Source organism: Homo sapiens, chromosome 2 (assembly GCF_000001405.40).
Source record: "Homo sapiens chromosome 2, GRCh38.p14 Primary Assembly".
NCBI classification, from domain to species: domain Eukaryota; kingdom Metazoa; phylum Chordata; class Mammalia; order Primates; family Hominidae; genus Homo; species Homo sapiens.
The window spans coordinates 170,808,365-170,824,756 of record NC_000002.12 but is presented as its reverse complement, the minus strand read 5'-3'; the positions used below and the strand labels follow the sequence as shown (position 1 = coordinate 170,824,756).

The 16,392-nt window shown below is 52.8% G+C and overlaps 1 protein-coding gene and 1 long non-coding RNA gene across 11 annotated transcripts in view, besides 5 other annotated features; one reads left to right on the top strand and one right to left on the bottom strand.

Annotated features, from left to right (window-relative positions):
- Positions 1-11,547, bottom strand: part of GAD1 (glutamate decarboxylase 1) — a 47,942-nt gene extending 36,395 nt beyond the window's left edge. For 2 of the 6 annotated variants that reach the window (NM_000817.3, XM_017003758.3), the window contains exons 1-3: positions 7,709-7,870; positions 6,084-6,228; positions 2,608-2,670 (exon numbers count right to left, since the gene is read on the bottom strand). In NM_000817.3, coding sequence (NP_000808.2) covers positions 2,608-2,670; positions 6,084-6,165 — 145 coding nt within the window. In that variant the 5' untranslated portion in view covers positions 6,166-6,228; positions 7,709-7,870. Of the gene's footprint in view, positions 1-2,607; positions 2,671-6,083; positions 6,229-7,340; positions 7,504-7,704; positions 7,871-11,334 lie in introns of those variants that run through there. The other 4 variants (XM_017003756.2, XM_047443875.1, XM_011510922.1 and 1 more) reach the window with 3 other exon arrangements.
- Positions 1,117-1,916: an enhancer, noted in NCBI's record as "H3K27ac-H3K4me1 hESC enhancer chr2:171679351-171680150 (GRCh37/hg19 assembly coordinates)". NCBI's record gives its function as "activates a minimal SCP1, AML or CMV promoter by ChIP-STARR-seq in primed H9 embryonic stem cells {active_cell/tissue: H9 hESC(primed)}" and the evidence as "EXISTENCE:reporter gene assay evidence [ECO:0000049][PMID:30033119]".
- Positions 5,433-5,955: an enhancer, noted in NCBI's record as "H3K4me1 hESC enhancer chr2:171675312-171675834 (GRCh37/hg19 assembly coordinates)". NCBI's record gives its function as "activates a minimal SCP1, AML or CMV promoter by ChIP-STARR-seq in naive H9 embryonic stem cells {active_cell/tissue: H9 hESC(naive)}" and the evidence as "EXISTENCE:reporter gene assay evidence [ECO:0000049][PMID:30033119]".
- Positions 5,956-6,479: an enhancer, noted in NCBI's record as "H3K4me1 hESC enhancer chr2:171674788-171675311 (GRCh37/hg19 assembly coordinates)". NCBI's record gives its function as "activates a minimal SCP1, AML or CMV promoter by ChIP-STARR-seq in naive H9 embryonic stem cells {active_cell/tissue: H9 hESC(naive)}" and the evidence as "EXISTENCE:reporter gene assay evidence [ECO:0000049][PMID:30033119]".
- On the top strand, positions 6,106-10,134 carry GAD1-AS1 (GAD1 antisense RNA 1). Of its 5 annotated transcripts, NR_197761.1 has the most exons (4): positions 6,106-6,371; positions 6,842-7,039; positions 7,725-7,903; positions 8,272-10,134. It is a non-coding gene; the product is annotated as a GAD1 antisense RNA 1 (long non-coding RNA). The 5 variants fall into 5 exon arrangements; NR_197762.1 differs by lacking the exon at positions 6,842-7,039 and having other exon boundaries at positions 7,758-7,903; positions 8,272-10,132; NR_197763.1 differs by lacking the exon at positions 6,106-6,371 and having other exon boundaries at positions 6,717-7,039; positions 7,758-7,903.
- Positions 7,719-7,888: an enhancer, noted in NCBI's record as "experimental_55930 CRE fragment used in MPRA reporter constructs". NCBI's record gives its function as "activates a minimal promoter by MPRAs in K562 erythroleukemia cells, with activity observed for both the introgressed and non-introgressed 2:171673464 variant alleles {active_cell/tissue: K562}" and the evidence as "EXISTENCE:reporter gene assay evidence [ECO:0000049][PMID:34662402]".
- Positions 7,976-8,055: a silencer, noted in NCBI's record as "silent region_12093". NCBI's record gives its function as "represses an Ori minimal core promoter by ATAC-STARR-seq in GM12878 lymphoblastoid cells {active_cell/tissue: GM12878}" and the evidence as "EXISTENCE:reporter gene assay evidence [ECO:0000049][PMID:35858748]".

Below are 16,392 nucleotides of genomic sequence, written 5' to 3'. Positions count from 1 at the left end.
GCAAGACCATGGGTTTCTTCTAGCTGATTACTCTCCCTGGGGGATTCTGCCTCCAGAGCTAATTCTGCCTTCAGGGCTACCACTAGTGGGGCCCAGGGCCTTCCTTGCAGCTTCATTCTGTGGATTTTGGGGAAGGGCAGGGGGAGAGTGGGTGGGGGTTGAATTTTGGCAAGGCACTGAGGGTGCTTCTGAGAGTCATCCAGGGCAGTGGGTTTGGAAGTGGGAAGAGGACCATGAGTTCCTCTGCTCTCTTAATGTGAAAGGGTAAACCAACCTGGATGGTGTCAAGTCAAGAAGGGACCCTCCAGGTCCATCCCTCCAGGGATGAAGGGAGGGGTGTGTGTGTGTGTGTGTGTGTGTGTGTGTGTGTGTGTGTGTAGGCAGGCAGGGAGCTGTGGACCCAGGGCCAACACAAAAGACTGCACTCTGCCTCCACTAGATTAAAATGGAAAGCCAAAGTTGTCTCAAGGTGTGGAAAATAAATCTTGGTGTTTTGTTTTCTTTCACAATCAAACCTAATGGGAAGCCTCCTAACCTGTGGCCCCAAAAGCGGGGCATTTTAGCCCAAGGCAATTTCTCCTCAACAGACTACCATGGGTTGTGGGGAGCAGACACAGGGAGGAAACTCTCTGAGGACTGTAGCCCCCAGGAGCTCTCCCTCCTAGCTTCGGCTGACAGTGGGGGAGGGGGAGTGGAGGCCAACTCCGGCTTCCCTATTTCCGGACCCAGCGAAGCCCCACTCTTTCCCGCCTCTTTAGCCTTTCTGAACTCGTCGGGTATGTCCCCATAAGAAGCACTTAGACCTTTTATTCCCGCGGAAGTGGAGCGCCTGCAGCCAGAGGAGCAGGGGACAGCAGGGGGCAGGATGGGGGTGAATGAGGGCTGCCCCCCACCCTCAGCAGGCCAGGCGCCGCTGGTAAGGAGCCGTCGCCCAGAGCCTGCCCCTACCCTGTCCTCGGCTGCCCAGGGCTCGCTCAGTTCTGCCTGCCCGGCTGGCTGCATGACAATGACGGCTGCAGAAGCCGAGCGCTGCGGCCGCCGAAGGGACCTGGCGCGAAACGGGCCATTAAGCCCAGAATGGCGGCAGGGTGGGGGTGGAGGTGGGGGTGGGAGTGGGACGGGGCTATTTATAGAACAAAGATCCGCGGCCGCCGGCTGCCCCAGCACAGGGATGCAGCCCTGGCCTTGCCCCACGGGCGTCCTGCGCTGGGGAGAAGGCCAAACTCCCAGGCCGCCCGGCGGCAGGGCTGGGCTTTCGGTGGAAAATGGCTGGGTCTAGGAATGGAGCGCCTGTTCCTCCCTAAACGCCGAGTCCCAGGGTCTAGAGGACAGAGCCCCAGAAATGCAGGGAGGGCGCGGCGCGGCCAAGCAGGGAAGGGAGTAGTTCCCCAAAGCGGCCACTCTGCTCTGACTGCAAACTGCCACCGCCCTCGCCCCGGGACCCAGGGAGGCTGGGAAGATCAGGTGCAGAGAGCACCCAGGCGGCGGGCGGCTCTCGGCGCTCCGGGGCTAGGGCGGGCGGGCGTGTCCCGTGCCTGCTCTGCCGCTATCTCCCGCGCGCAGGAGCTGACGGATGGCTCTTTAATAAGCCGCCCGTTAATCTTCCCCCGCCTCTCCAACCTCTGCCCGGGGACATCCGTATTTTCTGGCCCGATAAGGCTAGAGAATTTTAGTCGGTGAAATGTAGCCAGGAAAGTGAGGCCTCATTGTTCAGCCAGAATCACTCAGCTGTGTCCCTTCGAACAAATCTCCCTTTTTCCTTTAAAAAAATTACATCCTTTGGGCGTTTTCATTTCAGACCCTCCTGTCTCCAGAGAGCAGTTCTTTCTCCTCTCCAGCTCCCTGATCTATTTTCTTCCTTCCCGGTTCTTTCGCCGCCTGCGGCTCCTCGTCCCTGCTCGTCCCCTTTCCCTTCCCTCCTCGCCTTCAAGGATGCGCCAGGCAAACCCTCGTGCCTCCCTCAGGCAGGCCATGGAGGGCTCCAGGCAATCCTTTTCTTTAGCCTCCGAAGCCCCAAAGAAAGAAACTTGAATCCGTTATGACATCTCAGGGCAAAACCCCTCAAGGTGGAGAGACCACTTTCAATGCGACCCGACTGCGCGGGTGGAGGTGCGAGTGAGGGGTAGGCGATGATGTAGGGGATGGGGGAGACGTGTCAGCTACAGCTTTAGGCAGATACACCGCCTTTGGTCTGCTCTCCAGCAAGCCAGATCAGTTCACCTTTTCTACGCGACCTTTGGGACGCGCAGGCAGAGTGCACGGCACCGGGTGGGAGCTGCTTGCGCGCAGGGCTAGGAAGGCGGGGTTGCCGCGCGGGGGCGCTTTCCTCCCGCTTCTGCGCCCAGGCAGGGCACCCGGCGTTCGCTCCACTGGGTGTTGGGGATTGGGGACTCCAGAGGAAAAGACCCCTGGGGACCAGGTCTGGGGCGGGCAGAGGAGGGTCAGGGCCTGTAGGGGAGCGTGGTCGCTGGCTGTCCTGGCTGTAATTACATTAGAAAATCAGACCCATGAGCCCGGATCCCCCTCCGCTTGCGTCCCAGTCTCCCAAGCCCCAAAGGTCCGCCCGCCGCGCCACCCAGCCGGGCCCCAGTGGGTCCTGTCACTTACCGCAGATCTTGAGCCCCAGTTTTCTGGTGCATCCATGGGCCACGCCGCACCAGGTATCGTACGCTAGGACGAGAGAGAGGGAGAGAGGTTCGGTTAGGGAGGTTCCGACCGCGGGGAAATGGGTGGAGGACAATGGTTTTCTTGGGGGAGGATGAGGACTTTGCCAGAGCTCTTCATTAAAAGCTACTTCCTGAAAGGAGCTAGGAGCCAAATCTGTGAGCCGACAGGCATATACTCTAAGCCCCCATCATACTCCCTTCCTGCTCCTGGCTTCAAATATGGAACGGTGTCTCTGAGAGGCGGGGCACCCGGCGCCCCTCCGGGCCCGTAAGCGACCCCCGCCCGGCAGCTCCGGAGGTGGGGTCGGAGTTGGGTGAAGGCTGACCCACACGCAAAGGGCCAGGCTCCGATCGAGCTGCCCAACACCCACTGGCCGGGCCCCGCAGACTCAAAGGGCGACCACAGCAGCCCAGAAAGGGAACACAGGCATCTGGGACCGAAACGTCTCATAATTTCTTGGCGGGTCTCCAGCCTAGTGGCAGCTTAAAATAAACTGGCATGAAATGGGGTCGTGGAAGAGTTCAAGAATTAATTGGGTGAAAAATAGTATTTGACTAGATGATCGGGCTCGCATGGCTGCTCTTCAGTCAGACCGGGGAGTGGGGAAGACAATAGTGCGCCTCAGGTCCTCATCCCTGGCCCCTCTTCCCAACCTGCCCCTCATTAACCCTTCCCTCTGACATCTTGGGTCTGGAGCAGGCAAAGGTAAATGGAATCAAGCACCTTTCCTCTGAGTCACAACTGAGGGTGGAGGTGCTGCTGGATTTTCCTTCTTTTCCAGGCTGTTCTCAAACCCCTCAAGGTCTACCTGCTGCCTTCGGGGTTCAACTTCCAGCAAGAAGCGTGGGAAGCAGCCCCATCCCCACTAAGCCCCCAAGCGGAGTGGTGTGGTGAGCCCAGCACGAAATCCCCTTCCAATCTCTCAAAGCAAACCTCTCCAAGCACTCGCTTACCCTACCCTGACTGGTGCCTCCAGCTTCGCACAGGTGTTGGAGGCGATAAGGAGAGTGACATCCATTAAACCTGAGGCACAACAGAGCCCCAGCGGGGAGAAGAAACAGCCTGACGTCGGTAAGACATGTCACAGATGGAGTTCCAGTGACAGACAGGAAATCAGTGCAAAAGCGAAACCCTAATAATACCTGGCGGATAAAGAGCTATTTGGACCTGATAAAGTGCTTTCACTTTCAACATCATCTCATCTAATTCTCGTAACAGTCCTATGAAACTGGCAGGAGTGTTGATCTAAGAGTCATTTGACAAAGAAAAAACATCGAGGCTCAGAGAGGTTACATGAGTTTTCCAAGGTCAATCAACAGGGAAGTTGGAGTTCAGACACATTGCACTGCCTTTCAAAATTGGGGGTTGCAATGAAAGAAAGGGAAAGGGAGACGGGGAGAGCAAGCGAGAGAGCCCCTTTGATGTAGCAAGGGTCGGGAAGACCTAGTGGTTGGGGACAAGGAGGGCTCCAAGCCCCACCCAAGGGTTTCTGGAACAAGAGAGTGCCTTAGGTTGCCTGCACTAACGCCACCTCCCAGGAGACTCTAAAGGGGCAAAGAAGTGGAGCCAGCTGGGCGGGCAAAGGTATTGTCTGCAAGGGAGGGTGAGAGTGGATAGAGCGCCCAGCGCGCCTTTGAAGCCTGGGGTGCGGATGCGTAGCTAGGCTAAGGGCCCGCAACAGTGTGCCTGGGACACGTGCTGCTTGCTGTTTTACAGCAGGGTCCCGGGCTCTCTTGCCTTCGCTTTGGCAGCTTCCAGGCGAACCAGGCCACGTGCGGATTCAGGTCATCGCCTCTGTTGTGTCTCCTACCGGTGACTTGGCATTTGCGCCGGCGACTGGCGGCCACCGGGAATTCCGTAAGGGCGCCGGGAGTGGAGGGCAAATTAACACAACTGCCCGCTAACCCCCCACCCCCACCCCCAGGCGGCAAAAGGGAGCGGGAAATGTGGAAAGCGTCAGAAAAGAAATCCATCAAGGCGAAAGCACCACACAAAGGCGCGCAGGCCTCGCGTTCCTCCCGCCCTGCCCTGGCCAGCTCCAACGCCGGTGCCTGGTTCATATGCTACCAGGGCTGGCGACTCTCCCGAGGCCCTCTTTGTTGTGTGGGTAATTGTATCCCTCCTGGGTGGCGGGAAGAGGGAGCTGCAAAGGAAATTGGAATGAGACCTGAGGACTTAACACGAGACCTCCTGCCCGGGAGCCAATGCCAGCGTCTAAAGGGGCTTTCCGGTAATAATCCCCACTTCATTGATGAGGATACTTATTTTCTCAAATATAAAGTGCCATAAAAGCGCATCAATAAGCACTCCCTGTAACCACACTATCCTTCTTAAGCCCTTTCTGTATACAAATTCTGGAAATTCATACAATTAATTACATCTCAGAAATAAATAAATGGGGGAGTGGGAACACTTACAGTCTGAAGCTGATAAGTTTTTTTAGGGGGGTGGGGTCAGGAGACACTTCTTCACTCCAACAAGGAAAAAGAAAAACAATTTTCTCATCTCAAGCCTTTACAGAGGTAGGAAATAAAATTAAAGATAGATTCTGGAAATGGGTTGAGGAGCCTGTCGCACTTAAGACAGGGAAGCATAAATCCTCCCCCCTCTTTTATCTGGTGTCTCTTTTCTTTCTCTCTTTTCGGGACATGTCACCTCCTGACAGATCTCTTGCCTGGGATAAGGAGAGAGGTGCTCTCTCCTCTCTATGATAAAGCTTCTTGCCCCCTCCCAGTTCCCCATCTCTTGCCACTCAGGATGCCGCCCGCTCCCCTATTTATTTATTTATTTATTTATTTCTCTGAGATGTAATTAATTGTATGAAATGTCAAGGCTCAGTCTCAGTTTTATGCACCTTTCCCGCCCCTGACTTCTCCCTAACTCGTCAATAGCTTGATGCAAATTTGGAGCAATTAGGGACCTTGAGTTTTCTAAAAGCTGCAATTAACGTCGAAATTTCCGCTGATTATAGACTTTGAACACAGCCCAGGGGGAAAGGAGGAGGTCAGATCTTGGCTCAACGAAAGCCGGGGACTGAAAACTCTTATTCCTGCTGGGGCTCCTAGCTCTTCATTCCGCCCCCTGCGCTGACCCCTGTCGTCCCACGGAGCAAAGAAACCACACACAACAGAATAAAAACAACACCCTGGCTGCGCGCCCCTCCTCCTCCGCGAAGCCCTCAACGATCGCCGCTGCTCGGACCTTGCGTGGTCCTCGCTTTCCGGTGCCCTGGGAGTCACCTAGCGTCCCTGACAGCCGAATGACCTCTGGCAGGGACGGGGTCAGAGCCCCATTTATTTCCCAGCCTCCATTATCTCCGCGCTCCCCCTTCCCTTTCCGCCAGCTCAGCCTCCCGACGTCCCAGCGCCCCCATCTTCCCTGCAGTTCATTTGATAGAAAATTGGGGCGGGACCTACTTGTGGGGCGCAGGTTAGTGGTATTGGGGTCCGCTCCCGCGTTCGAGGAGGTTGCGGACGAAGATGGGGTCGAAGACGCCATCAGCTCGGTCGTCCCGGGGCCTCTACTGTCCAGAGTCCTCGACTGGTCCGGCGCAGAAACAGGCTGCAAAGAGAAGCGAGAGCTGTGCGGGGAGGACTTCCGGGGTCCTGCACACCGGAGGGACTGAGCAGCCGGGGGCACGGAGGCTCCCCTTGAAGATCCGGCTCTGGAGAGACAAGAGGGAGGAAAGGCAGCGAGCCTGCCTGGTAGGGGTGCGCAGGGGTGGGGGCAGCGGAGGAGACGTGCGCGCTAGCTCCGGTACTGGGGCGCAGGGAGCGTAGCCCTGGGCCGCTCTCGAGTCTGGCGGTGCATCGGCGCGACCTGGAGTGAAGCGCCGAGACGAGGCGGGGTCGGGGTCGGGGTGGGGGTCCAAGGCCAGTACAAGACGCAAGGGTGTGGGGGACTAGGCTAGGAGCACAGGGGAGCGCTCAGTGAGCGATTTTCCAGCCGAGCCGCTACAAGCCCCATTGGGCACTCAGCAGCCGGCGTGTGGGCCAGCGGGGGGAGGGCGCACGGGGCGGGCATGTCTGGTTCGGTGTCTGGTTCCCGTTGTTGTGTCTGGCTAATTCCCTGGAAAGAAAGAGGCTAACTGCTCCGGGGACTAGGGACTTTGGTGAGACAAGGTGAGAGGGGGAAAAAGGCCCATATCTTTACGTTCTCCCTCGGACTTGGCCAGAGAAGAACCACAGTCACCTTGCACTCCAGACAGCCAGAAAGCAGCGAGTCGGAATGTTGCTTGCCTCCCTCTTATCCCAGCCGGTTTTTAGCCATCGCTAAGCCTAGGGCGAGGTTTCGGTCCGGTTTCAGCGTTTCTCCTCTACCTAGCCCCCTGAGGACCCCAGATTTCTCGCGGTACAGATCCAGAGAGGGTGGGGTAAGTAAGCATGGGGAACGTCACCGGGGAAACGAACTTGCGCGCAGCGCGCAGGAGGCGGCGGACAAAGATCTTGCGCGGCGCCCCTGCTCGACTCTCGGCGCTGGCGCGATGGCGCCCGAAGGCCCCGGGACAGAGAGATTGCGGGCTAATCTGGGTAGATCGAGGACCCCACAGAGAAGGGCCCACCGGCCATCGCCTCCACACCCTCCCTCCGACCTCACTCCTAGCCCCGCGCGCGCAGTCGCACAGCAACTCGGGCAGCGGGTCGACTACGGCCCCTGGAAAAGTAACAGGTTACCGTTCCTAGTAGCGCCTTCGGCTGCTGCTGCCCAGGCGCCCTTTGGAGGGACAGGCGCTCGCAGCATGGAAGCTCAAGGGAAAATCGCTCTTGCCCCACTTCAACTAGAGCCTCAGCCTCCGTGCTTCCCCGGGGCGTGAATCCGGAGGGCAGGGATAAGAAGAGTGACGAGGGAGGCGGGGGGGGGGGGGTCCCTGCGCAGCGCACCCGTGGAGAGCAGGGACTAGGGCGGGCAGGAAGCACTCATTTCGGGAGGTTGGGTGGCCGGCGCTGGGATGGGGTTGGTTGAGAAGCCGCGGGAGGAGAGGACCTGGCTGAAAAGCCACGGTTGGGCGCTGGGAAGTCCAGGTGGTCGCTAGCTTACCCACCTCGGCTCTGCGACAGCGAGCCGGGCACTCCCGCCTTTCCTCTGCACAGCGCCCAGCGATCCGCTCGGCTCGGCCCTGACAGGCGTAATCTGCCCGGCGTCACCTCCAGCTGCTTCCTCGTTCTCGCTAGTTCCCTCTCGCACGCGAGCGCCAGGAGAAGAGAGAGATTCGGAGAGGCGGCTGCACGGCTCCGGGGTAGGCGGGGGCAGAGTGGGGAGGCGGGGACCGGATCGGCGGGGAAATCACGAGGCCGTTGCTCGCGGGGGCAGCTAGTCGGCGGAGCGGCGGGGCTCCTCTGCAGGTGCCTGACCGCCTCTGGAGCTTTATAGGGCGATTATAAATCCAGCTCACGGTTTTGCGCCCGGAAGGAAAAAAAAAAGGTCTTATGAGTAATCCAGAACGTACTCAACACGCTTTTTTTTTTTCCTTTGGAAATAGGCAGGCTGTCGGGTGAGAGGAGGGAAAAGATAATTCCTACGAAGAATTCTGCCTTTCTGAGCGTTTCTTCTTCCCTCCCCTCCTTTCCCCTCTCCCATTTCCCCTCCCCCTCCCATATATTGTAGGAGACGAGCGGCGGTTTTGCCTCAGTGCTTTTCCCCGGGGTTCCCCCAGATCTGTGACCCTGCGACGCTTCCTTGAGCGAAAGCGCGCTTTGGGTCGTGTCCTCGTTGGCTCTCTACGGAGCTGGGATTGTTGTAACCGCAAAGGAGGCAGAAATGAGGGGAGACCTCTTAGACCATGGAGGAATTACAGTTTCCTCATCCAGCCCTGGGCCCCATCAAAGTACCACACCTGGCCACAGCTACCCAGTGCCACCGGCAGAGAAAAGGACCCCGCGTCCCTTTTGCTATGCGCTCGCTCCTCGCTTTGGCCCCCTTGGTGATGGGAAAAGAAGGCCTCCTGATTAATCACGTTTGAAGGTTGATGACACGCACGAGCGCCGCTGCACGCGCATGGGGCACCCGAGCACAGAGGTGCCCGGAAGGGGCGGACCAGCCCCCCTTGCCCTGGCCCGCTCCCCCTTCGATTTCACGCGCTTTAAGGATTCTCCCTTTGCAATATTTAGGCGTAGTTAAAAGAACCGCTGCGTTGGGAGAAGCCCCTCGCCGTAAAAATGCGTTGAAAGAGAAATTCCCACCAGAGGGCGCCAAGAGCCCAGAGACGGAGAGGCCCTGCGCTCCCGGGTCTCTCCGCCAGCGCCCGAGCGGAGCCCACACCTGGAGCTGCTGGCCAGACGGTTACGCGCCGGCTTGCCTCTTCATGCCTTCCCTCACCGCCCTGTCACTAGTTTAAGTTCTCCCCTTTCTTCTCCCCCAGTTTTTTTCTTTAGGGCAAAAATGTTGATGTCTGTGCGTGTCTGGGTGACACCGTGTAGGCAGTGATTCCTTTACTGGTATTTACCGTGGTCCTCCCCCTCTCCCCAGGTGGTGCAGCACGCAGGGGTTATTTATGCGCACGTCTGGGGCCTCACTGGTTCAGCGGAGGCCCGTCCGTTTTCTTTGAATGCCTTATCGCCTTTCACCACAACACAATGGAAACACACACAAAAATATTATAAATTACCGAGAGTTCCATAAGGGAGATCGAAGGGTCCGCCCTGGGCAGACATGGCCTGATCAGCAAGAGGGATCTCGCTGTGGGGTTTGAAATAATCGCGTTGCCTTTGGTACTAAAGAAACTACTGTTTTGTCGCCTTGTCTCCACCTGACGATGAAATCCCCGGCACTTTTTAAGGACACAAAAAACATCCTAAACGGCGGGGCGCGCGGTGACTGCAGCCCCGGGCACTGAGGCTTGGGGCTGGACAGGCTGGGGGTGTCTGCTCCACGTAGGAAACGTCCCCCCAAACCACTCAACCGGCAGCTGCTCTGCGCTGCTTGAAGTGGGCGGCATACAACCAGGTGAAGCTCGGAATTCCATCCACCGGCCCTCCTAGAGCCTTCCCTAAACGAGACGCTCGCACCAATCAGGGAGCCAGGTGCCAGTGCTAAATCATTCAAGACGCACGGGGCAGGAGACAGGAAGGAGGAGGCAACACATCTCCCGGTGCCCCTCGTTCTTCATTGTCCAGCATAGACGCCCGCTCGCCTCAACCTTTTCCCAAAACCCGTGATTCCCTGGAAAGGAAGATTCGTTTACTTCACCTGTGGCACGAGATTGAGACATTTCCAACCACTTCCTCCTTTGACCCCAGAGTTCAAAACACCCCTAACGTTTTAGCCAATGAAATAATCTCGTTGGAGAAGGAATCTCCTGCAAGGCTAGGTAACGCAAGCTGAAGCTGAGTCCGTCCAGCTTCGAGGACATCCCTCTCTTTCTCCTTTATGGTGAGTAGGGGAGGAATGAAGACTTTTGTCCGTCCTTGTTTAGAATGTTTAATTGAATATTAGCAGTAATTGATTAAACGAATATTTATTAATCCCCTACTATGTGCCAAGCACTTATTTTTTGGAGCTTGCATTGTCCCTGCGGTTTATATTATCCTGCACGCCGGGAGTGGACATTCCGGTGAGGCAGGGAGAGGAGCGCACTTAGAAACTTCATAAATTTGATTTAATTTTCAATGATCTCCTCCAACTCGAACTCTTGGGCACAGCAGGAATGGTAATGAATTGAAGGCCTGGAATTCCACTCCATCCAGATTACTGAGTTTTGAGGTAGGGCATAGATCTTTCAGCACGAAGGACAGCGCCCGTCCTTCTGGTCCCCATGCCTCTGTTTCGTTTGCTTCCGCCAATAGCTATGGGCCAACCCACCAGACTCGCCCCAGCCCTCCTCCCTCCTGACAGTAACTGCTGTTTGTTTTGCCTAGTTGGGGGGTGAGGTATTTCGCCCACTGCTCTTCTCTCCGGTAGGAATTTGAACTAAGAGTGGCCGTGGTTGTCATTCGGCTCTAAACAACATTTGAAACCTATATTTTTGTTTATGTCTTTCACTCTTCCTTTAATCTTTTATCATTCCTGGGGGAGGATTCTTGGGATAATGGGGGTGGAAAAAAGATATCCTCTCCGGGGACTCGAACCGGTGATGAGGGGTGGCCCGGAAGGGAGTGGTGTCCGCCCAGCTGTTTCGATTGTATTTGAAGCGCTTTGAAGAAATGGGAACGCGGCGCTCAAAGGCAGAAGAAGGAGGGGGCGATATGCGACCCCTCCAGTCTCTCTCCGGCATTAGGGATTTGCGAGCTTGCAGCCCCGGCTACTCCACCCTGTCTGCCGAGGATAACGTTTCCTTAGGTCAACCACCGCTGGGACTTGGGAACACGACCCTCCGCCCACAATGCCCTTTATTCCTTTCCCCGTCGTGGGTGGGTGGGGGATTGTTTAAAGATATTCCAACCGGATTTGGGGCCAAGCCTTTTCTGCAAAGGGAAAAACGGGTGAGTAGGAGGAGCGTGAGGCGTTGAAGGAGCGCCCAAACGGGCTGCGGGGAGATCTTCACGCCTAAAACGTGGTCAGTCAAGGTGAGTAGACAGGACACGTCAATTTTTTTTGACGCAATTAGAATTTTTAGCCTCCAGGAAACGTAATTTAGAGCCATGGTATTGGTTCGTTTCAGCTGGCTCCTTAAAATCTATTTTAAGTGTCTAATTTATGACCAGAAAGGAAAAAAAAAATGGCAGTGCTCACCGGTTAAACGTCTGTCTCCCGAGACGAGAACTGGGGGAAGCGTTACTTAACCTTTCATTCTGCTTAAGTCGGAGCTAAGGTCCATTTGCTGTTTTTGTACTTTAAAGATAGTTCCCTGAATTATTCTGGACTTTTTTGAAGGATCATAGCTAAATCCACACCCCCATCCCAACAGACCACACAACACTCACAGCTGGGAGGCAGGAAAATGTTAAAAGGGTGAGAGGGGGTGGGAGGGGTGACAGCAGAATGCTGGAAGGCTGGAGAGGACTCTAGGAATTACAGCCACTTTTTCTAAAGAAGAGAGCTGGATTCTTCGGATAACTGGCAAATGGTCCTTCCCCCTTGATAGTCAGAAGATGAAAATATTCTAATACAAATAAATGAATCAAGGAGGACAGGGTGATTTGTGTTTGGGCAAATCTCCTTGTGCAAATCTTGAAACGTCCAATTCTTGCTATTCTAAACTCGAAGACAGAATGACCACCAGGTGGCAATAGATTACAATTTCTGAGAAGAAACAACAGGCCTCCCAAGGGAGCAGTTCTTCAAGGAAGAATGCAGGCTCATACTCATCCCTGCCAAATTTCACAAAGCAGGGCCTTTTCAAATGGTCAGAAGTGCTCTGGAAGTGACCTGAAACACCTAGGGTAGTGCGTCTCTTTGGTGAAAGACTAGGGGGTGCATGGCATCTGTTTTTTTCCCACCTAGCTGTGTCTCAAATGTAGTGAACCTGTGAATATTAGGCAAGAAACTGATTCACTGCAAAACTGGAAACCAAGGAAATACAGTTCTGGATTGTAATTCTGATGGGGAGCTTTAAAGGTATATCTGTGTCTTCTGATCTCAACAAAAACCAAGGCGAAATCAGTCCTTCCCCAAAAGGGTGGGATGCAAAAAGGAGGATTTCCCACCTGAGATGCTTTAGTGAAATACAGAATTCATGGGAGACTGAGGAGAGTAATATTTTATTCATTTCTTTTAGTGTAAAAGCTCTTGGACTACTTAAAATAACAGATATTTAGTCCCCATTTTCAAACATAGGTATCTGGGACTGTTGTTTGTGAAAAGGTTCTGGAAAGTTCTGACTTAGTTGTGGCGAATCTAATAACTTAAACTTCTATTCCAGGCCAGGTTTCTTCCCCTAATCCTGACCAGTTACTCAGGGGAGGAAACTGGAACTTTAACAGAAGGGGTGCATGATTGATTGCCGTTCCCATTAGGCCCCACCTTCAACATTGGGGGTCACATTTCAGCACGAGATTAGAGAGGACAAACATCCAAACTATATCAAATATTGTGACAATAGCTGACGAATACACTCTCCTATACCAAGAAGGGCAACGGGGACTGTGTGCGGTGGTTCACGCCTGTAATCCCTGCACTTTAGGAGGCCGAGGCAGGCAGATCTCTTGAGGCCAGGAGTTCGAGACTAGCCTGGGCAACATGGAGAAACCCAATCTCTATTAAACATACAAAAATTAGCCAGTTATGGTGCTGCACGACCTGGAATCCCAGCTACTTGGGAGTCTGAGGCACGAGAATCATGTGAAGTCGGGAGGCAGAGGTTGCAGGGAGCCAAGATCGTGCCACTGCACTCCAGCCTGAGCAACAGAGTGAGACTCTTGCCTCAAAAAAAAAAAAAAAAAAAAAAAAAGCCAACGCAGGCGCAAGGTGGAACTCAGGGTAAAGTCTGACATAGGCTGCCCAGAATTGCTTACTGTGGGCCCAGTCTGGCCAACAGTGGTGGTGCTGGGGTCTGTGGGGGACATTAGAGAACTCTCTCTATATATCTCGGTCTCTCTTGCGGTCTCTCTCTCTTTAGCAACACGACTAATAATTATCCTCATAGAGGAAGGAAATAAGTCTCAGGGAAATTGTGTGGTGTGTTTATTGTATGAATTCTCAGTTAATTATCACCTGAGGTCTTCTGTTTTCTTGATGAGGAAACTTAAGTCCAGAGAGGCTACAGGACTTCCCAGACCACATGCTTAGTGCGCAGGGGGCTGGAAATGCTTTCTTCTTCTCTCAGTCCCAGCGCCTTATGCTTGTTCAGTGAAGCCTTCTGGCTCTGTCACATAATAATCATTTGACCTTGGAAAAATCACAGAATCTCTCCAGACCCCCATAATGGGAGGGTTTGGGTACAAGATAAGACCAGATGAGGTTTCATTCATCTGAAACAATTTATTATTACAGGTATTTTGTGATTCTTCTCACTGGCAACTCTTCTCATGTTGTAAATACCATGGACTCAAGAACCTCTTGAGGCCCTCAAGGCAGCTTTTACTGGGAGAAAAGCAAAAATGTTGAAGTCAGTCTGACTTGAGTTTACATCTAGATTCTACTTATCGGCTATTGTTTGACTGCTCCAAGTTTACTTCTAAGTAAAATGGGGGTTAATATCAGCCTTGTGGGCTATCTTATTTGATGCTCATAGAACCCATTTTAGGCCGGGCGTGGTGGCTCACGCCTGTAATTCCCAGCACTTTGGGAGGCTGAGGCAGGCAAATCACCTGAGGTCAGGAGTTCGAGATCAGCCTGGCCAACGTGGTGAAACCCCCGTCTCTACTAAAAATAAAAAAATTAGCCAGGCATTGTTGCGCACGCCTGTGATCCCAGCTACTCAGGAGGCTGAGGCAGAATTGCTTGAACCTGGGAGGCAGAGGTTGCAGTGAGCTGAGATTGCCCACTGCACTCCAGCCTGGGCAACAGAGCAAGACTCAGTCTCAAAAAAAAGAGAACCCATTTTAGCAAGCTCAAGTGTGCCTAGTTAATGGTGTTCAATACATGTTTAATAGCTGCTTCTGCTCCTTCCCCTTAGTTCAACAGTGATTTTGAACAAATTAAATTTGTTCTCCTTGGATGTATAAGCTAAGCATAATATTTGTATTATTTTGCCAATTTCTTTTAGTAGAGCTACTGATCATTCCCGGACATAGGACTCAAAGCCCTCCTCTTTAGTGCCTTAGAGGTTTTTATTAGTCCACAAAGATAGTTTGATTTGTAGAGAAAGTTTTCTGATGGAGTATTCAGACTCTCTTAGGAAAGGGAGAGAGGGAGCCAGTTTTGTGATGAGGTGACATTTATACATAATTATGGATTTCTGCTGGGATTCAATCTTTTGATCGTTTCAATTTTCCTACCTTCATTCTCTCCCTCTGTAATCTCATCCAATCTGGCAGTTTTAAATATCTTAATTTTTATTTCAATTAAAATAAAAAAATTTAGATGTTATTGACTCCCAAATTTATATCTTTACCCTGAACCTCTGTTCAGCATTCCAGGTTGATATGTCCAGTTGAATTTTCCACTTGGATTTTTTTTTTTCTTTTTTCTTTTTTTTCTTTTGAGGTGGAGTCTCGCTCTGTCGCCCAGTTGGAGTGCAGTGGCGTGATCTCGGCTCACTGCAACCTCTGCCCCCTGGGTTCAAGCAATTCTCCTTCCTCAGCCTCTCTCGTAGCTGGGATTACAGGCATGTGCTACCACGCCCGGCTAATTTTTGTGTTTTTAGTAGAGACAGGGTTTTGCTATGTTGGCCAGTCTGGTCTCGAACCCCTGACCTCAGGTGATCCACCTGCCTTGGCTGCCCAAAGTGCTGGGATTACAAGCATGAGCCACCACACCTGGCCATCCACTTGGATTTCTAATAGGCATCTGAAACTTAAGGTGTCCCAAATTGAACTCCTGATACTTTTTTCCAAACCTGCTGCTATTACAGTTTTCTCCATCTCTGTAAATAACTAGAGGCAATTCCACCTTCCAGTTGGTCTGGTCCAAAACCTTGGAGTTATCACTGACTTCTTCCTTACAATCTGTCAGTAAATTCTGGTGGAGCTACTTTCAAACTTTAACAACTTCACTCTCTATTTCTGCTCTTACTATCCCTTGTTTCCTTCCCTAACACACACAATGTAAAATACTAGGTCATACTCATATCATGGCTTTCCTCTACTCAAAACCCTCTAATGATTCCGCATCTCAGAGGAAAAGACAAAGTCTTTATAATACTGACAAAGCCCTACACGGTCTGACCTTGTTACCTGTTTGAGTTCTTCTTATACTGCTCTGCCCCATCCTCACTCCACCCTAGGGACAATGGCCTCCTTGCTGTTTCATAAACATGAAGTAGAATGGGCCAGGGACTTTGTAATTACTAACCCTGTGCTTGGAAAGCTCTTCCTCCAGGCATTTGTAGGGTTTGTTCCTTCTCATTCTGTCTTTACTCAAATATTCAAGTGTTCTTTTCCCAGTGAGGTTTTCTTTTATCGTTATATTTAAAATTGCAGGCTGGGCAGTGTGGCTCATGCCTAGAATCCCAGCACTTTGGGAGGCCAAGGGTCTCACTCTATCACTCAGGCTAGAGTGCAGTGAGGCAATCAGGCCTTACTGCAGCCTCGACATTCCCGGCTCACATGATCCTCCCACCTCAGCCCCACCCCTGAGTAGCTGGGACTATAGTCTCCCATCGTTACACCTGGCTAATTTTTTGGTTTTGTTTTTTTATATTTCATGGAGACAGGGTCTCATTATGTTGCCCAGGCTGGTCTTCAACTCCTGGGCTCAAGTGATCCTCCCACCTTGGCTTCCCAAGGTGCTGGGATTACAGGTGTGAGCTACTGTGCCCAGTCTGCTTTAACAGGTTTTCAAAAAAAGATCAATTTAGCAAGTTTTCATTTGAGATAAGTTTCTTGAAGTATTCCCTTAATTTTGTTTAGTGACATATGATTTTTAATATTTTTTCTCTTATTTTCTTTCATTGGCAGTTGTGAGCTAAGAGAAGGTGGCTTTCGATGAGGATGTTGTCTGCTGATTTAAATACTCTGTCCCCCCACTGGGTGCCGTGGCTCACACCTGTAATCCCAGCACTTTGGGAGGATGAGATGAGCGGATCATCTGAGGTCAGGTGTTTGAGACCAGTCTGACCGAATGGTGAAACCCCACCTCTACTAAAAATGCAAAAATTAGCCAGGCATGGTGGCACGCACTTGTAATCCCAGCTACTTGGGAGGCTGAGGCAGGAGACTCGCTTGAACCTGGGAGGCGGAGGTTGCAGTG